This window comes from Homo sapiens, chromosome 8 (genome assembly GCF_000001405.40).
Source record: "Homo sapiens chromosome 8, GRCh38.p14 Primary Assembly".
NCBI classification, from domain to species: domain Eukaryota; kingdom Metazoa; phylum Chordata; class Mammalia; order Primates; family Hominidae; genus Homo; species Homo sapiens.
Genome location: NC_000008.11, coordinates 60205601 through 60231896, shown reverse-complemented (window position 1 = coordinate 60231896; position 26296 = coordinate 60205601). Strand labels below are relative to the sequence as shown.

Here is a 26296-nt window from a genome sequence, read left to right as displayed (position 1 = left end):
TTCTTTATTAACAATTTTCACTCTGAGATGACTTGAAATGCCTTATAGGAAACACTGATAAAAATCAGACTGGCAAAGACCTTGGCAGATATAGTCAATATAACATTTGGATTTGAGCTCTGTGGTAGGCAAAGAAGAGTATATAAATTTACCCAAACATATGAAAGCAGGCCACGTGCTTTCAGAGGTAAAAACTTAACTCAGTTTTTAAGGCGAATCTTCTAAATTTTGTCTTATTACCTGTTTGACATCGTAAAAGATTTAGAGGTGAAAGAGTATCTGGAAATTTTAGCTTTAAAGCTGCCATCAGGACCAGAAACCAGAGTTGCAGCTCTGCGTGGCTCTGGGCTGCCTATTGGATAACCTGGGATTAGAGCATGTTAGCACAGTGTTCTTCAGAAACTTAATTTTCCAAAGAGAGTTCGATAATGGGCCCTTTTAAACTTGTTTTTTTATGGCATATATATCAAAAATTAATTGCAACAATTTTTAATACATATCTCCTAGATATGTCTTTATTGATGTTTGAAAGTAGCCATCCAGTTTAGGCTCTTAATATTTTAAAATCAGCATCTTGCAAATATGACACGTCATAGAAATTTAAAGGAAATCCTTACATTTTTCAGTGAGTCCTCTTACTATTTATTTCATGGTGTCACAGGTGGGGACCTATATTCCTTGTGTTTTATAACGGCGTTATATAACTAGAAAGAAATCACAAAATATTAATGAAAAATGTTTTCATTATACAAATATATTTTGATAATTTTTAGTATATTGAAGTAACAATCATGAAAGACTACTGTTATAACCCAGAAAAGTTAATAAAATATCTAAATCTGAGAAATTGAGACAGTAGAATGTACTATCTCATTATTAAAAGTAAGAATAAAAAATAATAAAATAAAAATAAGAATACAAATAACCACATATTCATATATAGAAGGGAAAGGAACATGTCAGTTTCATCTTTGGAATTGGTACTCAATAAATATTTGTGGATGGAATTAGGTGTGATAACTTAGTATTTTCACTTCCTGATTCTTAGCATTTAACAGGTGACCTGGATTCGTAGAGCCCCGGACTGAAAACCCAGCCCCTTAGAACTACTGCGAGTATTTCCAAGAACAAGCTGCATTATTGCAGGGAAGGGAAAGCCTGGAGAGCAAGCACACTTTTTCTAACTTTTCATAAGTTTCTGTGATGAAAAATTCAGGTTATCTGTGTGCAAATTCTCAGGAGAGAGTGAAATCACAGAACTGAGAGCAAAATTTCAGGAAGGAAGGAAGGAGGGAAGGAGGGAAGGAGAGGGGAAGGGAGGGATGGGCTGAAATCCATCGGGGGGGTCGGGTCCTCAGGCTGGATGAGAGAAATTTGGAGGGAGGAGGTCGGAGACATTGAGTAGACTTTCCTTCCAAGAAGCTTGGCCAAAGGAAGGAAGGACAGATGGGGCAATAACTGGCGATGATGTCCAGTGAATCTTTTGAGATCTGAGATCTGCATGTAGTATTTTTTTTTCCCTGAGCAATAAGAGCTATTGCAGACATAGAGATTAAAAATACTGGAAAGAGAGGGTGTCACTGATGTGGAAAAGTCCTGGAGGAGGCAAGAGGGCATGGGATGGAGAGCTTATGCAGGTGGACTAATCTCAGATAGGAGCAGACCCACCCCTTCTCCAAAACAGAGGGCCAGGAGGAAAGTGTGGACACACATGGGGCCGATTTGTAGGTGGAGAAAGGCAGGACATTGAGGGAGTTCATGCCTGACAACCTTCATTATCTCTGAGACACACAAAGCAAAATTATTTATAGAGCAAAGAAAACGTGGGTGTGGGATTGAGTCTTGAAATAGACCAGAAGGGGATGATAATATATTTGGCAGTCACTGAGGGAAACCCCCTTGGGATTGGATGCCCCAGATCATACAGGACAGGGTATGGTGGGTTGTTCTTTATCCGGGTAAAGGAGTAGAGAGTTCTGGTAAGTCGTGTTGATCCATCAGAGAGCAGATGATTTAGGAGGTAAAAGGATTAAAGAATGGAGAGTGGTTGGAGAGATATCATTCTGTCTAGCCAGTCCCACACCATGTCTAGGCAGGAGGGGGAAGGAGAGGCCACAAGGACCTGCCAGCCTTGGCACCTGGTGATCAGTGAAGGGGAGAGAGGAAAGAGCAGGAGAGCTGGATGGCCCGGGGCATCTGGTCAGAGAGGCCAGTCTTTCAGAGTTAAAGTTTTCAGAATGAGAGCACGTACCAGCAGTGTCCTCAGGGTTGGTTTGCTCAGGTGGAATGGGGCAGAAGGCCACGGACTGACGGGTGAAGAGACTTAGGCCAGGGAGGGGATGGGTCACCCCCTGAATGCTGAAGTCATCCAGGGTGGCAGCAGGAGGTGATGCCTGGGAGAGATTGACTAGTGGGTCAGTAAGGGAGAAAGAAGGAGGGCGTGATAGCCTTAGAAGATGGTCCCCTCGGGAGGATGGCTTGAGCACGTGGGTCAGAGTTCCACCCTGAAGGGAGCAAGAGTGCACTGACCATGGACCCCAGTCTGTCTCCCTGGGGGACTGCATGGCGTCCACTTGAAAGGCCTGCAAAAGAGCTGTGCCCTTGGGCAGACTCGAAGGGTTCAGGTAGATCAGGAAATGGTGGGAGATGTTGGCAGAAATGCAGAGTTGTTCTGTTCTAGAGGGTGCAGTGGAAGATAAGGAGAGATTGAGTTAGAAGTAAAAAACAAAAAAAAAACAGGTGGTTCAGGGCTGAGATGCCAGGAAAGGAGAACGGACCAAAGTGGTTTGCATTTCCAGTGGTGGCGAAAGACAGCAAAGGTGAGAGGTGAGAAATGAGTTGTTCTCAAGGTTCCTGGTGGACTCTTGGTACCAGGTTGTGTTATCTGAACAGCTGCTTGCACGGTTTTAGCAGCTGGGGTGTGGAGATTATCATCAGTACTTGCTTTTTGCTGGTCATCATTTCTTCATACACAAATTTGGCAAGGAAGGAAAAGAAAGAGATGGCATAATAGCAGAGTTTATAGAATTTGCAAGATATGAGGTTTTGCCCATAAAGTAGAGTCTTTATAGATAGAAGGAGCTAGTAATAGTCGTTAAGAGCTACTATATGGAAAAACTATATTTGATGCTGTAGGGCATCCAGATTAAGAATAATAATGGACATTAAGTGAATTATGATGACCCAAGCCTGTTCCACAGTCTTTGTTTGATTTAATCTTATCTTCAACCCTATCATTTTTATCCTCTCCAGCAAACAGCTGAGGAAGCGGAAGGATGTAGAGGTTAACTACACTTGCTTAAGGCCACACAGCTAAGAGGTGGCAGAGTCAGGATTGGAATCCAGGCAGTCCAGTGCAAAGTGAGCCTGTTCCTGAGCACCACATTGAGTGGCCTTAGGGTTCATATGTGGACTCTTCAAAGAGTTTACAACCCAACAGGAGATGCCTGAGATGAAAACAGACCCCAAGTGCAGACGTAGGCCTCCCAGTGCTATAGTATGGTTAAACCAGTAAGACAAAAGAGAAGTCCATTTCTCCTGAAGAATGGGTAATGATTTCTGCCTAAAATTTCAGGCTGCTGCCACAGGTACATATGCATTAGGTTTTAAATGTTTTTTTGTTTTTAACTTTACAAAATTTATTTTCTGTTTTTAGAGCCTATCTCGGGAATAATTGTAGACTCTTGGAAAGTAGTTCACGTCTTGATTGTTTAGAGCTGACTGGCCTATCTTAGGTAGAGCGTTTCTTGTCTCTCTCCTCTCCCTTTGGATGCTCTTTCATCTGCATGTTTTGCAGTTAGTTAACATTGGGAGAAACAGAGAATGTAAACATATCTACAGCTACTCTGGCTTCTCTTAGGTCATTCTCCAAATATCTATGTGGAAGGAGAAAAACTGACAAAAGCAATGATTGTTTATTTGAGGTTCTAAATGACCTCCATTACTCTCCTCCATTATCATGGACCACTGGAAATTGGTCAGATTTCACTTAAAAGTTTTAAAGCCAAAGTCAAGAATATTAAATGTTAGAATTTTTTTGTCTCCATTTTTTGGGAGCATTTTATACACTAATAATATATAGTGATATGTTTTTAAAAAGAAGGCTATAAAAAGCACATTATTATTTATTTAAGAATAGAAGGGTAGTTATAAAATTATGTCTAGAAGTAATCAAGAAAGGTCTTGATTTTGGTGAATTTAACATACAAAATCACACACCTGCTTTTCTAAGTTAATATAATTTTTCAGTATTGTTAAAATCTTTATAGCAATGATCTATAAATGCCAGAGTTAAACATGGAAGGGTTTGAACATGTACTGAGTAGTTTTAATTCAAAAATATCCTTGATATTTTTATATTTAACAGTATTTTGTAATTTGATATACTACATATAGCAAAGTGAGTGATTCCTATACACAGTAAAGAGAATTTAGAATGAGTTCTTGGACATTTACGTAACTAATACTTTATTATACTAGGTTTGTCACAACTTTAATTACCTTTAGTAGACATTGACCTAGTTATTAATAAAAGGCCATTTAATTATTCCTCAAAAAGGACATTCAGATGGACTAGAACCGAGTTCTGTTAGTTTTTTTTTTTTGAGACAGAGTCTTGCTGTGTCATCCAGGCTGGAGTGCAGTGGCATGATCTTGGCTCACTGCAACCTCTCCGCCTCCTGGGTTCAAGCGATTCTTCTTCCTCACCCTCCTGAGTAGCTGGGACTTCAGGGGTGTGCCACCATGCCCAGCTAATTTTTTGCATTTTTAGTAGAGACAGGGTTTCACTGTGGTAGCCAGGATGGCCTCGATCTCCTAACCTTGTGATCCACCCAACTCGGCCTCCCAAAGTGCTGGGGTTACAGGCATGAGCCACCACACTCAGCCCTATTAGTTTTTTTTTAGTTAAAGCTAAACACTGAAAAATGTTGTGGTTGTGGTTTATGCTTTATGTTTTTCAGATAGGAAAGGAACATGTTGGCTTGAAGGCTGTGACTGAAATCCTCCAAGATATTCAGTATAAGGTAAGTCATTATTTAAAATAATATAGAAATACTGGTTGTGTAGGAGCTCCCTGTGACCACCTGCGGGCTCGATGCTGTGTTAGAAGGACTCACAGATCTCAGAAAAGCTGCTGTCCTTGTGGTTATGGTTTATTACAGTGAAAAGAAATAGGTCAAAAAGCAGAGGGAAAAGGCGCATGGAATGAAGTCCAGGGGAAACCAGGCACAAGCTTCCAGGTGTCCCCTCCCAGTGGAGTCACTTGAGGATGCCCCTAATTCTCCTAGCAATGATGTGTCACAACATGTGTGAAGTGTTGACAACTACGGAAGCTCACTCTAGCCTTAGTGTCCAGAGATTTATTAGGGGTCAATCATGCAAGCACTAAACGCATGCAACATAGCTGACCTCAGCTACTCACTCTCTAGCAGCAGCCGTCTCCCTGCCCTCTTCGCCATAAGTCACATTGTCAGCATCAGCTTATCTGTTCCAATTGGTACAGTATGTCTCAAGGCCTCAGACATGTAACAACAGGAGTTCACCATAAATACAGGATGGCCCAAGGCTGCAGGCACACAGAAACAGTCTTATCAGGTAGAATATTCCAAGCTCAGAGGTTATATCCCAGGAGCAAAGAGTTAGTCCTGAAGACAGGCCTTTATATGGGATGTGCAGGGTTTGAGCAACTCAGGCTTGCTGAGTTAACCCTTTCCTACCTGCATGCTATAGGAAAGTTGTATAAATGAAACAAATAAAAATTTGGGGAATCATATTTCAAAGTATTTATGTTAAATAAATTTAAAAAAAGAAAACAAGTACACATATGTGGTAAGATAATATCCAAGAGAAGGTGATCCACATGACCCTGCCATGATATGGCCTAGCATTGCTAGGAAGCCAATGCCACCACCACGCCCAGCTAATTTTTGTATTTTTAGTAGAGACAGGGTTTCACCATGTTGGCCAGGGTGGTCTTGATCTCTTGACCTCATGATCCACCCACCTCGGCCTTGCAAAGTGCTGGGATTACAGGCGTGAGCCACCATGCCTGGCCCAATGCCAGTCTCTCTTATAAGCAGTGCCTTCTTGGCTCACACTTAGCTGAATGTGAGTGGCCTTGGGGAGGGGAAGTAGTCTAGTCTTGTAGGGCTGCTGGAGATACAGAGCAGAAATTGAACTTGTTTAATTACAGAGGATCCAGAGACCCAAAGCCAGTTTTAAGAAAGATCAATTTGGGAATCAAGTTTGATTAGCTTTATACTAGCACAGCCCAGGGTATCCTGAACCAGGCAGAACCTCCACTGAAGATCTCCTGAGTAGGTTTGGAAGGAACCCAGCTTCCAAGGGATGCCCAGTCCAGATAAAAAAAGCTGATAAAAAGACAATAAGGGCACATTTTGACTTATATTTGTACAACTGCAGTGGACTGAGAAAATTTCCTTTATTTCATCATCTAATAGGACACCAGTCATTATGGAATTCAGGGGGATCGGGGAGGCAAGTAAGCTAGATTCTTTAATGTTTGAAATAGTCCCAGGGAGTCAGGAAGGGACTTGGAGGTTATGCAATAACTTTCCCTATTGCATCTGTATCAATAGAGAAAAATCTTTTAAGAAACATCTGAGTCACATGACAGGACTATTTTCCTCTAAAGTCTAAGCAATTTAAATGACATGATTTAAAATGATGATCTTAAATGTGAATTGTTGAATAAGAGCACAAATGATTCCCTTGAAATTTGTATCTAGCTTTGATAAACACTGATCGGAACAGAATATTTCCATCTATATCAGATCTCCCTTTCCAGATGAGGAGAGCATCTAGCATAGATCCCAGAGCTGAGTTACCAAATCCAAATAGGACAAGACAGGAAGTTGCAAGCCTGGTTGTAATGCCGGAAAGGTTAGGAGCTGAAATGAAAGCAAGCAGGAGGAAAGGCATTTTGAAAATTCCCCCATCCAGGGTTCAGGCATTTTACAATGAGAATTTAGCCCAAATCTCTGTTATGAATGTGCTCAGAGCAGAAAAGGTAACTGACATGGGGCAGATGGGGCACCAAGTGTAGGTTCCACACCAGGACTTACAGGGAGAATTGAACTGTGGTAGCAAAGAAAATAGCCATAGAATTAGAGCAGGAACCAGACAATGTTACTCCAATGAGAAGGTGGAAGGAGATACCCACAAGTCTGTGGGACCTGATGAGGCCATTCAGAAAAGACTTCATTCTAATTTTTTAGTTCTAATAGATTTTTTATTCTAAAATCTAGAAATATTACATTAACATTGGGTAAATATTTTTTTCTTTTTCAGGGGAAGTCCAAAACAATACCTTGCTTTAATCCTAACACTTTATTACCAGGTGAGTATTTACCTGATTGCATAAAATGAATTTTAACTGTGGCTATAGTCACATTGTTTTCTTCAGACTATGTAAAACTATATATTGTTAATTAATAAAACTTATTTGCAATTTGTATTCTGTTTAGCAGATACCATTTCCAGATTACTCTAAATATGGAAGTAAACCTTTTGAAATAATAAAGAGACACTTTGCCACTAGTTCCATTGATCCATGAAGAGCTTTCGTAGGATTGTCATTTGTAAAAATTGCTACCTCTGTGTAAAGCATCAGTATAATAAAATAACTTTGGCTGGGTGTGGTGGCTCATGCCTGTAATCCCAGCTACTCAGGAGGCTGAAGCAGGAGAATCGCTTGAACCCAGGAGGTGGAGGTTGCAGTGAGCCGAGATTACGTGACTGCACTCCAGCCTGGGTGACAAAGTGAAACTCTGTCTCAAACAAACAAACGAACAAACAAAGAAAAAACCTTCATGTACTTCTAAGATTGATCAGTGGAGTTCTTAATCTTTAGAGTAAAATAAACTTTGTATCTAATTTTATAAGGTTACCTCTCTGCAGTAATACTATTATTATGTATTATTCCACTTGTATTTCTGTACAGATAACAATTATACATTAAGTACTCAGAATATGATTTAAAGGTTGTTGTATATAAAATTTTGATCTTCACATTTCTCTGCCCAAATTATGTGCTGTCCCTTAGTGTTTTAAACAAAACCAGTTGATGCATTGTATCTTCTATTTTCTACATTTAATTGCTCTACAACAAACCAATTTCTATCGTATGTTAACCATTTATCCATCATATTAGTCATAAATTCCTCTAATGCAGAGCTAAAGGATTTCATAAGAATGACTCATTTTGTTTTATTGTAATATGATTTTAGTATTTTGCTGTTGCAGAAGCAGTATAGTGGTAGCTAGAACTGAATGGTTAAAAATACAGGCTTTCAGACAGACATGATCATACCTATGTAATCCCAACACTTTGGGAGACTGATGCAAGAGGATTGCTTGAGGCCAAGAGTTTGAGACTAGCCATAGCCAGACCTTGCTCTCAAAAAAAGAAGAAATAATTGCTGGCTGTGGTGGTGTGCACCCATAGTCCCAGCTGCTTGGGAGGCTGAGGTGAGATGATCGCTTGAGCCCAGGAGTTTGAGGCTGCAGTGATTCATGGTCACACCACCACACTCCAGCAGCCTGGGTGATAGAGCCAGACCCTGTCTCTTAAGAAAAAAAAAATACAGGTTATGAAGCCAGATTGCCTGAATTTGAATCCTGGCTCTGCCAGTGATTATTAGCTGAGTGACCTCAGGCAAACTACTACTCTTTTGAGATTCTGTTTCCCCATCTGAAATATAACATTAATATTACTACCTATCTCACTGGTTTGTTGTGAAGGTTAAATGAATTAAAGTAAATTGCTGGCACGTCATAAGCATTCAATAAATATTAGATATGAAATAGGTAAATTCTTTAATAAAGTGAAAAAACCCAAAATATAGATACACTTCTAAAGTGATTAAACTTGACAGGTATCTATAGTAATCCATTGATAGAAATCACTGTAAATAATAGAGAATTCATCATGCTTTTTATCAATTATTTTCTCCACAATGAGTAGTGTAAGACTGTGGGGCTCTAGTTTAAAAATGACATCCATCTTAGAAGCATCATTTGGACAGTTTGTAATTTTGAAAATTGTTGTTGGAGTCATCAGGATTGTTATTAATTCACTTGCCTTTTCCATTACATGTCCACGTGGCTGTGCAGACCCTCTGCTGCGGGATTACTGGGTGTATGAAGGCTCTCTCACCATCCCACCTTGCAGTGAAGGTGTCACCTGGATATTATTCCGATACCCTTTAACTATATCCCAGCTACAGGTGAGTGTGCTACTTTGAATCTTTCAGAGTGAAGTTCTGAGTTAAACATTGTTTCTGAGAAAGGAAAATGTCTGTTTTGTGTTTTAGCTTCCTGTAGATCAGTCATACCTTTCCAGATGAAAGTTAAATGGCTTGAACTAGTGAAAGTGATTGAAAGGTCAAGGATGGACAGAATCCAACACTAATTTATGGTCTATATTTTAAAAGTTAGTCTTTAGAGAGTTAATAGAAATCACTGAAAGAGCAAAACTTTTTATTAGTCTAGTTATTTCCTTATGTGAATTTCCCCAGGTGTGGAGAATGGAAAGTCTGGACGTAAAGTGGGGATGCCGGTTATTTCTGTAAGTCACTCATAGGCTTTGAAATAGTTTTGCCTTGGTGTGTACAGGAAAATTCTGCATGTGCGGGGTGAAGGACCCAGAAGGAGTGCCCTAGAAAATTCTGGATTGTTTTCTAGCTCTACTTTTGGTCGCCCACCCCCGGCCTTGGGCTCTTCATAGGTGCCCTAAATGGTACTGCACGGTGGGTGGGAGCATCCAACTGAATTGTCACTGGGATGTTAGCTGGTGGAACATGAGGCAGCGCCACTCGAATGTATTTAAGCCATGATTTTAATATTACAGAAGGGGCTTTAAATATCTCCTGTCTTTCAGGGATCTGTGTAAGGGATGGATATGTTCTGGAGAGCTATATTGTTTCTTCCATGATCAACCTCAAAAGGCCTGGGAAATACTCTCAGCAAACCAGTTTTCTTTGATAGCTTTTAAATATTTGCCTTTAATTCTTGAAGTTAAAAAGCTCAAGTTCACTAACTTCTCAGTAAAGCTTTCTTTATTTTGTCCTTAAATCTTAAAAAAAAATCCTTCTTCCAACATTTAATAATTTCTCTTTATTTCTGTTTTGCTAGGGATTAATTTAAAAATTTCCCCACTCAGCCTCTCCTCCCCATACCCTTCATTATTTTATGAACTTTGATCATATCACTTTTGAACCTTCATATTTTTATGACAAATCCTAATTCCTATATTTAGTCATTCATCTATTTGTTCTTATAAGAGACTGTTCTCCACATGATTAGATTAGGGGTATGGGTTTGAGAAAAACAACTGTGGAGGTGAAGGGCTCTTGTCATCACACTGAACAGGGGTATATGCTGCCAATACTCACTTATCACTGGTGATGTGTTCTTGTTTCTTAGTACCACTAAATGCACTTTGCTTTTAATTTAAAAATGAAGAACAAAAAGAAACCCTTCCTGAATGCTAACTGGACACAGAAGATAACAAGATTAAAACACAGTCTTTACTCTCAAAAATTTCACCATAGAGTTGGGGAGGCAGATGACTAAATAATTAACATGATAATAAGTAAGGTGCTCTGGAAACACATATGGAAGAAACCCAACCCAGTCCAAGAGGTTTAGGGAATAATTTCAGCAAAATATTAGAAGTTAGTCTGGTGAAGGACAGGAAAGAAGTTAGAAATTTGGGTCTAATGTTAAGCCTAGAGTTTTGGATTCACGATATCTAGATTTGGGACTTAACAGCGAAGATGTTGGCTGCTGCAACAGATAAACCTCAAAATGTCAGTGGCTTAACACAGTAGAAATTTATTTCATGCTCACATAAAATTCAACATGTGTGTTTCTGATTCGCAGTGAAGGCTTTTCTCTGTGTAGTCATTCGCAGTCATTCTGTATAGAAAGAAACACTTCCATCTTCACTGTCCTCCTCCCACAGTTGCCCTCAGTGAAAATAGGGCGAAGGATCTCAACAGGGATCTTTTGAGGGCCAGTAGTAGAAACAGGGAGCTCCACTTGTGCTTGCTTTCTGTTAGCTAGAACTGGTCACATAACTACCCTAACGGCGGGGGAGGCTGGGAAGTGCATTCTAGCTTCATTCCCAAGAAGAAACTAAAAAACAGATTCAGTGATCAGACGAGCTAGAATTCCTGGCGCCATAGCTCAAGCTGAGTAGGAAGACAAGAAGATAGCCCCCGCTGAGTGCAACACTGCAGTGGAGATGGGGGAGATGATGCCTTCTTAGGAACTAAGGACCAGGGGTCTTGAGAAGAACAGGGAGGGAGTGTTGCCAAGATGTGGAGGAGGAGGGGGTTAATACTGAGAAGTGCTGTGGACGAGTGCTGCCAACCCAAGCATCAAATAACTACAGGACCTTTTAAAAATGGGCCCAGGTGTTCAGAGTTCTGAACTTCTGGCTTCCATCTGGCTTAAATTCTGGATCTCAGCTTGTTCATGTCCTCTGGTACCTAATGTTTTCCCTAGCTAGGTATGCTCACTGCTTGATTCTGGTTTTAGTATCCTCCTCTGTTGCTGAGTTTTGGCTTCCCTTCTGCAATACCATTCCTCCTCCATCCCTTCCACTGTGCTGTTTCTGGTTCCTCCAGGTAAGTAAACACCTTAGCCCATCTAAGCAGTTTGCCTTGAGGCCCCTACCATGATGAACGCCTTCTTTTCTTTTCTGATTTGCCTCATCACTGCAAACAAGATTCATGAACAAGAGCTATAATCGCCAGTTAGGCCATTGTTAACCCAAAGGAGATGTTTCCGTAGAATGTTGAGCTGAATGTAGAGGGACCAAGCATAAATATGGACCATATATAGACCATCTTTCTAGAAGTTTTGTGGGAAAGGCAAGGAGGGTTTTAGGGACAACGTTTAGAGAATAGTCAAGTGTTTTTTTTTTTTTTTTTTTTTTTTAAGTTAAGATTTAGGAAATACTAGAGGTTTTGTAGGCATATTGAAAATAATCTGTGAATACAACAGTTGATCCCTTGATATGGTGACTGCCGTTATCATTCCCAGGTTTCAGATGAGGTGATTGAGGCCTAGGGAGATTAAGAAACCTTTGCCTGGTTGACACAGGTAGTAAGGGTGGATTTGGGGATCCAGCCAGTCATGTGTGATGTCAGTGCTGGGTGCTTAACTCCTGCCCCTTTTGGTGTGCCCTCTTCAACACTGCAGTTTATTTGAGACCTTTCTACATGAGGCCTTGTCAGGAAGCCCCCAGCAGTGTTAGAGGAGGTTTCTGCCTTTTCTGTTATTATGTTCTGTATCCCCAGTTGGAGGAGTTTTGTTTCTCTCAGACAGTTGGAAACACATGACAAGAACTTCAGAGGCTGAGGCCTAATGTGCAGATTTAGGGATCCTTAGCATCAAAAAAAGAGCAGAATAGGCCGGGCGCGGTGGCTCATGCCTGTAATCCCAGCACTTTGGGAGGCCCAGGCGGGCAGATCACGAGGTCAGGAGTTCGAGACCAGCCTGGCCAATATGGTGAAACCTTATCTCTACTAAAAATACAAAATTAGCCGGGTGTGGTGGCAGGTGCCTGTAATCCCAGCTACTCAGGAGGCTGAGGCAGGAGAATTGCTTGAACCCGGGTGGTGGAGGTTGCAGTGAGCCAAGATTGTGCCACTGCACTCCAGGCTGGGCAACAGAGCGAGACTCCGTCTAAAAAAAAAAAAAGGCAGAATAACAAAAGAAATAAGACACCCAAGAAAAGAATATGTACAGAGAAGAGTCAAGTAGTGAGGATGGGAGCATACAGTCCCCTGAGGCACTTTCCTGAGGCTGATAACTTCCTGAGGTATCCTTTCTAAGACTCTTCTAAACTGGTAGGACCCCGTGCAATGCACTCTTTTCTGTTTGCTATCTAGTTGCTCCAGGTCCCTTCTCTTGCTGACTTTGTATTTCTGAAGCAGAGAAGGGGTCTGGGGTTAGCAGGCATGTGAGGGCCATGCTCACTGCCGGCCGCCCCATCCAGGTCAGACTCAGGGACTGCAACACGAGCAGGGGCCGTGGGTCGTATAGTCACTGTTGTTCTATGAATGATACATGTAAAACATCAAACTTTCCTCTGCATTTACTTTTCCTACAATTTGTCTCGAGGATACATACACATTTTTTTGTTGTTGTTGCAGATAGCCAAAGTCTTAGATGCCCAAATTTCAAAGCCCCAAGGCTTAACATACAGCATGTTTTATGATACTCGAATGCATTCATTTGCTTTTACTTGTCATTGACCCTGTTAATACAAGCAGTGTATTGATGTAGTAAGGTAATTATGTCATAGTCCTAGCTTCCTTTTTTTTATCCTTTTCATAGGCAGTTTTTAGCATGTGAAATTGCTCCTTTGAGACTGATGTGGAGTCTGAAGGAATGCATGCATTCATTCATTCATTTATTTGGCAATTATTCGACATTTGCTATGTGCCAGTTACTGGAATCAGTACTGACAAGGGGAGATAAAAAAGACACTCTCAAAGAATTCACCATCTAGGAGGAAAGGCCAGCTGATACATAGGTGTACATAAAAAAAAAAAACCCAGTCATTTGCTGTGTCCAGCGCTATGGGATGGTATGGACGTAGTCTTGAGGTAGCACATAGGAAAGGTACCTGGATGAGAGCTAGTTATCTAGAAGGCCTTCCCCAAGCCAGGTCAAGAGGTGTTGTCTGAGTATTCGTGGGAATTGCCAACAGGGGAAAAGTGTCTGTATGCTTGTGTCTGGCAGGGAGGCCAGAGAGCAGAGTGTATTTGGGGAACGCTTGCGGTAAGTGTGGAGAGCCTGCGACATGAGGGGGTTGGAGAGGGAAGCAGGAGACTTCCTCATTGAGCCTCAGGGCTGTGCCATGGAGGTTGGGTTTTCTCCTGAAGGTAGCAAAGAATCACAGAAATGTTGTAAGGAGGAGAGAGATATGACCGAATTTGAATTCAAGAAACATGCTCTGTAGCTGCAGTATGAAGATGTGGGTCACATGGCAATGAGATGGAGGGAAGGGAGTAACTTTAGAAATAATAAAGAAGTAGAAGCAGAACCTGGTGGCTGATGACATAGGAAGGATTTTGGGAAGGAAAGACCACCTTGTCACTGGACCTCCCCTGGATTTGGCTTGGTTGACTGGCAAGTGTAAGGTATTGCTTTCTACCATGATAGGGAATCAAGGAGGAAGAGCAGCCTTCATGGAGAAGATGCCAAGTTTATGGTTGCATATTGAGAGTTTGAGATGCCTTTAAGACATCCAAGAAAGGGGTATGGTATACAGGTGGTGGGTGAAGCTGTTAGTGTAGAAGAGGAAATCATTCAGGGAGAGAAAAGAACTGATTCAGAGAACGAGGGATTTGTAACCAGGGATGTGCACTGTAAGAGTGTCCCCAGGAAATGTCTTGAGAAGTGGAAAAAGTCAGGAGACTCATGTGATGGTTAGAGAAGCCATGGGAGAGGCAAGTTTCAAGAAGGAGTGGAGAGATTACGAGTGTCAGATTCTGCACACACATTCAGTTAAGGACTAAAAAGTGATAACTGGATTTAGCCACAAGGAGAGATTATAGACTTGAGAACAAAGTAGACGAGCTGGGTGTCTATGGTCACATTTGTTCAGCATTACTTTATCGAGGGTAATTTCCTAAAAGTAGATCAGATCTTTTAGTGAAACTTTTTTTTTCTTGGCCAGGCGTGGTGGCTCACGCCTGTAATCCAAGCACTTCAGGAGGCTGAGGTGGACGGATCACCTGAGGTCAGGAGTTAGAGACCTGCCTGGCCAACACGGTGAAACCCTGTCTCTACTAAAGATACAAAAATTAGCCAGGTGTGGTGGCAGGCGCCTGTAATCCCAGCTACTTGGGAGGCTGAGGCAGGAGAATCACTTGAACCTGGGAGGCGGAAGTTGCAGTGAACCGAGACTGTACCACTCCACTCCAGCCTGGGCAACAAGAATGAAACTCCATCTCAAAAACAAAAATGTTCTTTATAATCACAACAAATCTTAATTTATTGAAAGGTTTAGATTTGTTGAGTGCCCAACATTCCCATTTCTACCTAGAATTCCTTTAAGGATTCCCTTGCCAGCATTCACAATGTTAATGCTGAACTATATTGAGAATGTTAACGGATCCTGTAGATATGATACAATATTTTACTACTATACTGGCCAGTGTATTATGCTAAGATCCAGAGACAGACCATCGTGCCTTAGGCTCTCTGGCTTCAAAGGGAACCTAACTTTGTATTTTTCCTTGAAATAGGCCAGTGACAAAGTCTAACCCTAACCTACTAAAGTCATGCTCCCTGATGATTGGGAGATAAACCATATCTTACCACAGGGGAGCCGAAGCTGAATGAATGCATATTAGAAGGAATAATCTCAACTGCCCTTCAAAATAGATGACTTTTCAATTAGCTGTACTTCTCAAGGAAAAGATTTAGGTGCTATTAGCACAGAGCTCCATCATAGCATCTGTTCAGAGGGCAGCAGAGTTAAAATGTAGACACACACAGACACACATTTACGTATATTAAAATGCAATTTAGAGTGATTTAGAAAAAATTATAATCTTAGGGGAATATAAGTCAGTCTGTCCTTGAATGTTTTACTTGGTGCTGCTCATAGAATTTCACAGGAAGCAGAGTAAAAATGGAAAAGGTCCAAAGAAGGCAGCAAAAGTGAGAGGAATCAAAAGAAGAGAATGTGATTCTAGGAGTTAGACCAAGAAAAATTGAGAAGCCTCAAGAATTGAGAAGGGGAGGAGAGAGATGCTTGACATATAACATAGCAAAAGGAACAATGAATGGCAGGTAGTTTCCACATAGCTGATTATATTGAGAAATTAAAAATTTTGCATTAAATTAAAGAGCAGTGTTTTCTTCTATACCATAAGGTTTATGTATGTAATTAAGCTGCTGAATATTATTGTGGAAAGAATTGGTATCTTGACATGCATCACCTGCCATAGGATAATAGTATTGGCACTAGCAACATTGAAGTTCTAAATCATAATGGTTTCCTATTAAATGCATAGTAGCTGTGATTCAGGGAGGTGTAGACTTCAGCTGAAGTGTAGTGTGGACTGTTAAGCCCATCATACATTGTCCTGAGTACTATTAATAGGAATTCTAGAATAGGAATTCTAAAATTGGAAGCCCCTTCTTAGCTGAATTTTTCATATTATTCCTGGTTAGCATGCCTTATGTAGGGAGAAAAAACACAATTGAACGGATCTGAATGAGTATATATTTCTTTTTTAAAAATTACCTCTAACCATTACATAACTTTATTAAAATTTTTTTATTTCCATAGGTGTTTAGGGAACAGGTGGTATTTGGTTACACGAGTAAGTTCTTTAGTGGTGATTTGTGAGATTTTGGTGGACCCATCACCCAAGCAGTATACACTGAACCCAACTTGTAGTCTTTTATCCCTCACCCCCTTCCCACCCTTTCCCCCTGAGTCCCCAAAGTGGGGATCCGGTGTGTGTGTGTGTGTGTGTGTGTGTATACACACACACACACGACAGTGTTTTTATCCACTCATTGATTATGGACATTTTAACCATTAAATAACTGTAATATAAACAACCGTCTAAGCATTCGGAAGCCAATCAGCTGGATTGTCGTGTTTAGAAATGAGATTCCAAGAACAGAATACAAATACCAAAACATTACCAAATCTAACAACAGAAATTTTAAGACATATTCTGATTTCACAGAGTCATTAAAATGTGAATACATATTAATCTTAGAATTGATAGAACAGGGTATTATGGTATAGTGCCATCTGTGCAAATACGTATGTACACATACAGAAATGGGTTGATAATTAAGTTTTGCTGTCCTTTTCCTGCCCTTTTCTTCCTCCTTTTTCTGCATTCCCTCCCTACTTATCTATTTCTTAGCTTATCTACATTTTCATATTAAATGTCTGTTTTTTCCTGTCTCTTTCAACTTAAAATAACACCAGTGAAATGAAGGAATATGAATGTGTTTGTTGTTTTTTCACCCTGTGGATACATGATACGTCTTCTAGAATATTGAAAACTGCTTTAAATGTTCTTTTCTTCTGTCTTTCCTCCTCTTCATTCCCTCTGCATTCCATGTTTCCTGTGGGTTGGAAAGTAGGACTCTTTACATCCTGACAGCCCGAGTTAGTGCCTGGCATGTGCTCAGCCTGTGGGATCTGGAAGCACATCTGGCCCTGGACAATTGAGGAAGTCTGACCCCATTCATGAAGCAGCAAGTCTTTCTCAGGGGTCTTCATGCTCCATATGGAATCGAAGGGGCTGTTTCCCTAAAGTCCAGGTTGCCGTAGGGCCACAGCATGGTTATGTTTGACAATCACTTCAAATGATTGGGAACATTTGTTATAGATTTTCAATGACTGGGAACATTTGTTGGAGATTTTCTTCTCTGTCCTTTCTTCAGGACCCACCTGAATGGGTCCCCTCTGACATTCAGGTGTTGCCAATGTGATGTATTAAGACATGGGACCTTTAAGAGGTGTTTAGGCCATGAGGGTCCTTCCCTTGTTAATGGATTAAGGCCCTTAAGAAAGAGGCTTCACACAGCATTTTCTTGTTGGCTTGCTTGTCCTTCTGCCTTCTGCTACATGAGGACGAATGAATAATGCCCTCACCAAATGCCAAATGTCTTGATCTTGGACTTCCAGCCTCCAGAACTGTGAGAAAATACATTTCTGTTCTTTATATATCATCCAGTCTCAGGTATTCTGTTATAACAGCACAAAACAGACGAAGACAGCCATGGTTTTCAGACTTGAGCATGTGTCAGATCCCCTGGAAGGCTTGTTGAAGCACAGATTGCTGCGTTCCACCCCTGTGTTGCTGATTCAGTAGGTCTGGGGTAGTTGCTGACAACTTAAACTTTTATTCTGGGAGGATACTTTGAGAACCACTGTTTCATATGTACCTGCATTCGTCTTTACATGTAATTGAGATCAGCGCTATAACCCGAGAATGCCGAGGTCCTGAAGGTGCGTGTGAAGGGCAGCGCTAGGCCAGCCCTGTCCAGTGGGAACATGATGTGATCCACATATTAAACTTTCTAGTAGCCATGGTAAAAAAAAAAAAAAGTCAAAAGAAACAGGTGAAATTAAGAAATTAATTCAAATAGTGTATTTAACCCAATACGTGCAAAATACTATCATTTTAGCATGTAGTCAAGGTAAAAAGTTATTGATGAGATTTCTCTCCTTATTTTCATACTGAGTCTTTGCCTTGCAGTGTGTATTCTGCACTTCCAGCACATCTCAGATTGGACAAGCCAAATTTCGAGTGCTTGGTGGCCATGTGGGCCTGGTGGCTGCCATCCTGGACAGTGCAAATCAAGGATCTTCTCTCTGGGGAGACTCTTTCTTCCCTTTCTTAAAATGTGTTATTTTTAATTGCTTGTAGAGATTTTTATATGTATTTTCTCAGTGTCTTAAGTGATAGGCAGCACTTTCCCTGTGGTTGTGAGCTCTCTAATCTGTAATTCTTTAGTATGTTTAAATCTGTGTGGCTCAGAAACTCTCTTGAGGTGATGAGGGCCGACAACGGCCAAGGCTGAGGCTCCTTTAGGCTGGGGATGGCTTCAGGACCGTTGACGTCGGTGTTACCAGGGAGTGAATGTTCTTCCTACTCTCTTCCTCAAAAAAATTGAAAAGATCGATTAAAGAGTCATGACAGAGTGAGAGTTGGTTTATGAATGAGAGGTTGGTAAGGAAGAGGGAGCATTGGTTTTAGATAGAACATTATATAATGGGGTAGAAGAGAAATGAGGCAAAAACAAGGCTGCAGTACATGAAAGGTGGAGAGTCCTCTCTGTCTATATCTGTCTCTGTATACATATATGGACTGTTTAAGTACAATTTGCTTTTGACTTTTTAATTTGATTAGTACCATTTGGAATTGTGTTATTCTGACTCTTGTTATTGATAATAAAAGAAAGTGAGAGCACTAACTTTTATAAAGAACCATTTTATCAAGGTCATAAAATATCTGTCACCTCCCAAAGTTTCCTCCCATGTCCTTTGTTGTTAAAATATTTTACTGGGTCAGAACGCTTAACATAAGATCTACCATCTTAGCATTTTAAAGTGTACAATGCAGTATTGTTAACTATAGGTACTGTGCTGTATAGGAGACCTCGAGGACTTATTTATCTTGCATAACTGAAATTTTGTACCCTTTAACCATTACATCCCCATTTCTGCTTCCTGCCAGCTCTTGGCAGCTGCCATTCTTCTCTCTGCTTCTAAGAGTTTGATTGTTTTAGATTCCACATATAAGTGAGTTCATACAATACTTGTGTTTCCATGTCTTGTTGATTTCCACTTCTGGATATAGATTGAAAGAAATTGAAGTCAGTATCTTGAAGAGATACCTGCACTCCCATGTTCATTAAGCCAAGACAGGGAAACCACATAAATGTCCATAGATGGGTTAATGGATAGAGCATACTGACTTTTATGTGTTGTATTTCTCTTTTAACATGATGACACATGAAATGCAAGTGAAAATAAATCTATTAGAACTTGGGAACTCCTGAAAGTTAAGTAGCCCTAAACTGCAAACCCTGGAAATTAGCCCTTTGAATGCATTAATAAAGAAGCAGTTTTAAAGCTGAACTTTTAGTGGATAATTTGGTTTTTGAGGCAGTGAAGATTGGAATAAATGTCTTAGACCAATTGGAGTGCACCTGTCGTTCAAAGAACAGTGGCTGTTGAATCTAGTACCTTCAGAAGATGGCGACTTCTCCATGAAATGTTCAATGTTGGTGCCCCGCATTCAGTTTTCTCTTAAATTGGTTAAAAACAAATAACACATACTATGTTTAAGTGGAGTAGCATTAACAATAGATGCAGTCATACATTCAGATATATGTGATAATAATGGTCTCTGGAAGGCCTTGACATTTGAGTTTCATTAAAGATTTCTATCCTGAAATATTATTCTATTATTCTGTTCATTTATCACAATCTCTCATTTCAGTGTGGCTGATTCAGTATGCACTTGAAACCATTTGAAGTGACTAAAGGGTTTTGGGGGTGGTTGCTTTAGAAAAATTGGCATTTCAGAAAGACACATTTTCCCCTCCATCTCTGTTGATGTTGGAAGTCTTCAAAGTGTTGCTGTGATCAGAGAAAAACATTTCTTGTGAAATAGTTTTCTCTGAGAGTACAGTGATTTGAGACTGGCTGGCTGTTGATTCAGATCATCTCTTCTGGAAGAAGTTGTTTTCACAGAATGTGCTTCAGGGTGAGGCCTGGGGCTTGAAAGGTTTATCTCCAGTTCAGAATGCATAAATATAAAATTAACCCAGCTTTAAAATAATCTTCAAAGTCAATAAAAAATGGATTCTTTCATATGTTGAGGCAGTAAAGTTCCCAGCCCACATTGCTCCTCAGTGACCTGTGCATGCTTCATAGGTTCAGGTTGCAGGTATTAAGTATGATTACATGGAAAGCGAATGCTAGGAGAGATGACTTTAAATTTCCTCAGTGAAATTATTGGTTTATTATAAATACTTTCTGCATATACAACTGTAGCTAAATATTTATCTCAAAGTGCTGAAGGTTTCACTTCAAAAGAAGTTGTGCAATAGAAGTGCTAGTATTTGTCAGACACTTCCTATGTGCTTGGAACTATGCTGAGTGATTTTCATGAATGTTCTTTCTTATTTCCTAGGCTATCCTTGTGAATACTGTTATTATTATGTCTGTTATACACATGTGGAAACTGAGGTTTGAAGAGGTGAAGTCATTTGATCTTTTGGGTCTTAGGTGGCAGAGCACGACAAGAATTGGCCTTTGGGTGCAGAGTCCACTGCCCTCACTGTGATATTCTTCTTTTTGAAAAAGCATAAGATTCTCTCACTGACCAGGTTCCTTTTCACTCTGTACTTAGGGAAAACTTTAAGGTGAAAGCAAATAATAAGGGATTCTCATGCAGCTTCGTCTCTAGAAGTTTTTCAGATGCAACAAGCAATAGATGCTACTCGTATTTTCATTCTAATAGCTGAAGAAGATCTAGCGAAAAACCATCAAGTAGATTAAACAGCTGATTGCTTATCTGACTGGCTTCTCTATGTAAATACAGCATATAGGTACAATAAAAAACTAAACAGGACAATCCCAGTTGGGTCAGACTTAATCTCATTAAGGGAAATCAACCAGTATTCAGTGACATGGAAAAATAAGACATTCGAAGCGCATGTAAGTACAGAGAGAAAAAAAAAAAACCCACAGAAAAGAAGCTGGCTTTCTGACCCGGATTCTAATTGAACTATCCGTTTAATTTTTTTCCAACTCTATGTATGAGTGTGTTGAATTAGAATGTTGTGGGATTCAACTCTTGGAGTCAGGGAGCCTCTCCTGAGGAAAATGCACATGTAAAAATTTGCATATCATTCAGGGCTTTCGTGGGCCCCCTAAAGTCTCTATAGGTGTCTCTTGACTTTGTTGAAACCCCTGAATTAGTTGCTGTCTTGTGTTTCATTTCTCTTTATGAATGGCAGAATTCTATAGCTATGTCATATTAAGGATCTTTGTGGATATAATCCCTTGATACACAGATGGTGAACTTTTGGTGGATTGATGCTGCCCAAATCACGTTTGCTCAATACCCTGGGGTATGTGAAGGAGATAGATTATATTGAATTGACTAGAATTCCTAAAGAGATGACTGTGGAGCTGAGAAAAGAGCAGGTAGACTTGGAATTGTCAGACTTACCCACTAGCTAATCTGGTAATTTTCAAAACTTCCAGCCTCAGTTTCCCCTTCTGTATATGGAATGAAGAATGTGTCATGTGACTGTGTGGCACTTAAGTGAATTAACAGACAATGAACCCTGTAGTTAAATTGATAGATGGGAATAATCCTGGGGAATGCTCATCACTTTTGCTTGTTGCTTAAACATTAGTATTCCCCAGAGAGTCACGTCTGGCAGGCTCTGGGTTCTTAGAGAAACTGTAGGGTGGCTGATGGGCAATGTCCCTGAGGACTCTGAGAACCTTTTCACTTACAGTGGGGAAGCCATGGGACCTGGAGAGCCCACCTAATAAAGGGAAATGAACTTGAAAATCAATATTGTAAAGACAGGAATTTGGGCTCAGACTTTTGAAAAATCATTTTTTTGGACCTGTGCTCTCCAGAGGGCTAGAAAAGTGGCAAAAGTCTTTTGATGAAAGGAAACCTTGAATCTATCTGATAAATCTAAGATCTAATCAGTGTTTACATACAGTAACATAAGAATCCATTAATTAAAATGTACTTGGAAAGCATTTAAGAGCACATTCATTTGTTCACTTTTTCTTATTATGCTATAGATAGGCATAAAACCTTTTTGGGAGAGGTTTGTATCATTGTTTTTTGGAGATGGAGTCTGGCTCTGTCACTCAGGCTGGAGTGCAACGGTGTGATCTCGGCTCACTGCAACCTCCGCCTCATGGGTTCAAGTGATTTCTCCTGCCTCAGCCTCCTGAGTAGCTGGGATTACAGGTGTGCACCACCAAGCCTGGCTGATTTTTGTATTTTTAGTAGAGACAGGGTTTCACCGTGTTGATCAGGCTGCTGTTGAACTCTTGACCTTGTGACCTGCCCACCTTGGCCACCCAAAGTGATGGGATTACAGGCGTGAGCCACTGTGCCCGGCCTGTATCATTTTTACATTAACAAATGGAGCAGATTTCTTTATCTATTTGAGTTGTTCAGAGATCTTGATATGTCTACTTCTGTTGTCATTTCTTGAAAGGGTCCTCTCTAACGTCTTAGGTCTGGAAGAATTAAGTCTGTTTTTTTTCTTTTTGAAGCTTAATTTTAATTTTCTCTTCAATAATTCTTGTAATTTATACATATTTTATGCATGTCATTTATGAAACTCCAATCTTGTTAATGTCCGATAATTGATTAATCTATTTTCTTCTGCTTTTATTTTCAGATAGAAGAATTTCGAAGGCTGAGGACACATGTTAAGGGGGCAGAACTTGTGGAAGGCTGTGATGGGATTTTGGGAGACAACTTTCGGCCCACTCAGCCTCTTAGTGACAGAGTCATTAGAGCTGCATTTCAGTAGCCAAAGAGGACAGGAACAAGTCTGTCTTCATGAGGGTATGTCCAGATTAAGTAAGGAAAATGAGGTGCACAGCTACTTAAACCTAGCGTACCAAAGGTACACTTATTGTGATCCTGGTAATTTAGTAATAAAAGCGTATGTACTTCATCTTGATAAAATTTATGACACATTCTTGAGCTCTGTTAATTACAGGTCAAGTAGGTATTTTAATTTTATGCAGTATTGAAGAAAAACTATGATTATATTTTCCTATCAGAGTAGCCTTTAATTCCAAGTTTTGGTGGCTTTCATAAGAACAGACACCCTCAGGCCCAGAAAAAGTGACATGCATGCATACCTCTTTAGTAACTTACCATGTTGTCCCCGTGAAGCAGCACCAGTCATGTCCCAGTGACCAAGGAGCACATAGGAGGGGACTTGGGGAGCGTGTGAGCCTCAGTGTGGACCCTTCTCGTCTCCTGCAGAATTGATCCTCTTGTTTCTCAGGGGAGGGAGCATATCTGGCATGCATTGAAATACTTCTTCTATGGAAGTGCCTTTTATATGATAAATTGAGAAGCACTTATTAATTATCTGAATATGATACACTATTGATTGAAACATAATCTATGTATTTTAATATATAGAATTCAATGTATGTATTCCTTACTCTTAAGGAACTAACAAAATAAAATATCACAAACACGGAAGAGATAAAATATAAAACAAACTATATATTGGATTATTTATTTACCTTGTAAATTTCCTAAGTGCATAGGTCATTGTACATCACTGGCAAACCACAGCTTCCCAAGGGGAAGGCATCTGTTGGAATAGAACCTAGGGAAGCAGCGAAATCTCATCTCTATAAACAATTTAAAAATTAGCTGGGTGTGGTGGCATACGCTTGTAGTCCCAACTATTCAGGAGGCTGAGGTGGGAGGATCACTTGAGCCTGGGAGGTGGAGGCCGCAGTCAGCTGAGATCACACCACTGTTCTCCAGCCTGGGTGACAGATTGAGATCGTGTCTCAAACAAAATGAAACAAAACAAAAAAACGAAGAAGTCTGCCAGGTAGCCAGGGTGATAGATGCGGAGGCTTGGACACTAGAATAGGAACAGTGGAGGTGGAGAGAAGTTGATGTATATGAAATAGAAATCGCAGGTTATAGCTAGTGATGAATTGGATGAGGGGTGGAGGGAGATGGAAGTGTCAAAGATAAATTCCGGGGTCTTACACTTTGGAAACCCTGGATGGAGTGCCACTGAGTGGCAGTGGGAAAGCTGCGGGGAGGCCCTGTTTGGTTGAAGATAAAGAGTTGAGTTGCAGCACAGTGAGTGAGAGATGCCTGTCAACCACAAACTGCAATAGCGGACTCTGGTCATGAAGGTCATTAGCATTTCAAGAGTAGAGAACAGAAAACAAGTCTGGGTTGAAATAGGGACGTATTGGGTGTAGACATTGTATATGTTCATATAATGTTCTGATGGATCTAATGGGGTTACTTAATTAAGTGTGCATAAAATCTTGTGGGAGGCTTTACAGACAAGTTAGCCAAGACACAGATAAGTTAGGTTACGGGCCAAAGTAATACAGTGATTGAGCAGTGGAGCTGAAGGAGATCCAGGCAGCTTGACTGGCAGAGCCCTTTTTCTTCACCACGACATGGGCAGAGGTTAGAGAGTTTTGCCACACTGGCGGTCGAGTGACACATCAAGGAGGGATGTGGTTGCAGCAGGCTAAAGGCCATAGGAAGGGAGGAGCTGGAGACTCCAGGTCGCAGCCACCTTGGTGGGCTGGGGTGGGGCAGGAGGCCGCAGCAACAGAGACGGGGTGGGATTGAAGAAGTCTTTTTTTTTTTCTTTTTTAAACAAAAGAAATAGAACTTGTCTATATGCTGGGGTGTGGGAAAGGAGCAAGTAGATGGAGAGAGGCTGAAGATACTGCTTCTGGGAGGAGCTGGAGCAGTGAAGTCTGAAAAGTTGAAAGGGATGAAATCCTAAGCACACAGGGAGACTGGCTTTTGCTGAGAGGATGGGCACTCTCTGTGCTGCAATGGGAAGGAAGAAAGAAGGAGGTGGTGGTTTAGAGCTGCTGTGTACCCATGACTTGCTCTTACCATTTAATGATGAAGGGGCAGGAGCTAGGAGTGGGAGAGCAGCAGTGAAGATGGATAGGAGCAGAGGAAGAGGGAAGGATGTGTTCACAGGAGAGGCCAAGAGGCAGCGGGGGTGGGATGAGGGTTGCAAAGCGTGAATTTATGCATTTCTCCAGTCTAGGTTTAGTTAGTATACTCCCTGTGAATGTCAATACCTGTAAATGATACTTTTAATGAAGGGAGATTATTCCCTTGAATGTTTGGTTTGTATCTTGTCCTAGACCAGAGTTGCCATTCTCTAAATATCTAAATGACTATTATTATTTTCTCTCTCTCTTTTACACACACACGCGCACACACACACACAGAGAAATGTTGTTTATGAGATTTTGTATATTTCACATACTTCATATTCTTTATATGATAGATGAATAATGTGTAGTTTTTCAAAGTTTTGAGTTAATTACAATTTAGGTACTATTTCTAAAAGGAAGATATATTTGTGTTCTTACTTTGGTGGCTGAGATTACTTAAAGGGGATAATTTGCTCCCAAATTCCTAAGAATGGTACAGGAATTCTAAGGTGACTAATTCTTATTTCATTTTTTTATGAATACTTTTATCTTGAAATGTGTAATACAAATCTGGTCAGAGTTCTATATAAAAATTATATTGGGAATCAGACTTATGTGTGTGTACTTTTTATTTGATATTTAATAATGCCCTAAGGCAGGTAATTCAAATTTTTATTAAAGTGAAATGATTTGACAGTCAGACTTTGAATTTAATGCATGAATGTTTCATTTAAGCTCTTGGAACTAAAAAGGAAAAGACATTTCTCTGGTAGTTGTTCTCTAAAAAATGTTTAAAATAATTCAGATATATTTTAGCTATGTTTTACTGAAATAACTTTAGTTTTAGACTTAAAATGACAGATTTTTAAAAAAATGACATGTCTGGGCACCTGGAAGACTTTGATAACCAAGCTTTATTATTCCCATGAGTAATCTGTGACTTTTTATATTACCATTTAAGAAGTATGAACTATGATTTTGTATTATACTTGTTTAAAGAATTAGTATGTAAGTCATCCAGGTGCTGGAAAT

The 26296-nt window shown here is 40.3% G+C and overlaps 1 protein-coding gene across 5 annotated transcripts in view; it reads left to right on the top strand.

Annotated features, from left to right (window-relative positions):
* The window catches only part of CA8 (carbonic anhydrase 8), a 95989-nt gene that overhangs the window by 49504 nt on the left and 20189 nt on the right, over positions 1-26296 (top strand). For 2 of the 5 annotated variants that reach the window (NM_001321839.2, NM_004056.6), the window contains 4 exons: positions 4962-5024; positions 7312-7360; positions 9136-9248; positions 22978-23147. In NM_001321839.2, the coding sequence (NP_001308768.1) occupies positions 4962-5024; positions 7312-7360; positions 9136-9248; positions 22978-23112 (360 nt within the window). In that variant the 3' untranslated portion in view covers positions 23113-23147. Of the gene's footprint in view, positions 1-4961; positions 5025-7311; positions 7361-9135; positions 9249-9539; positions 9590-22977; positions 25875-26296 lie in introns of those variants that run through there. The other 3 variants (NR_135821.2, NM_001321838.2, NM_001321837.2) reach the window with 3 other exon arrangements.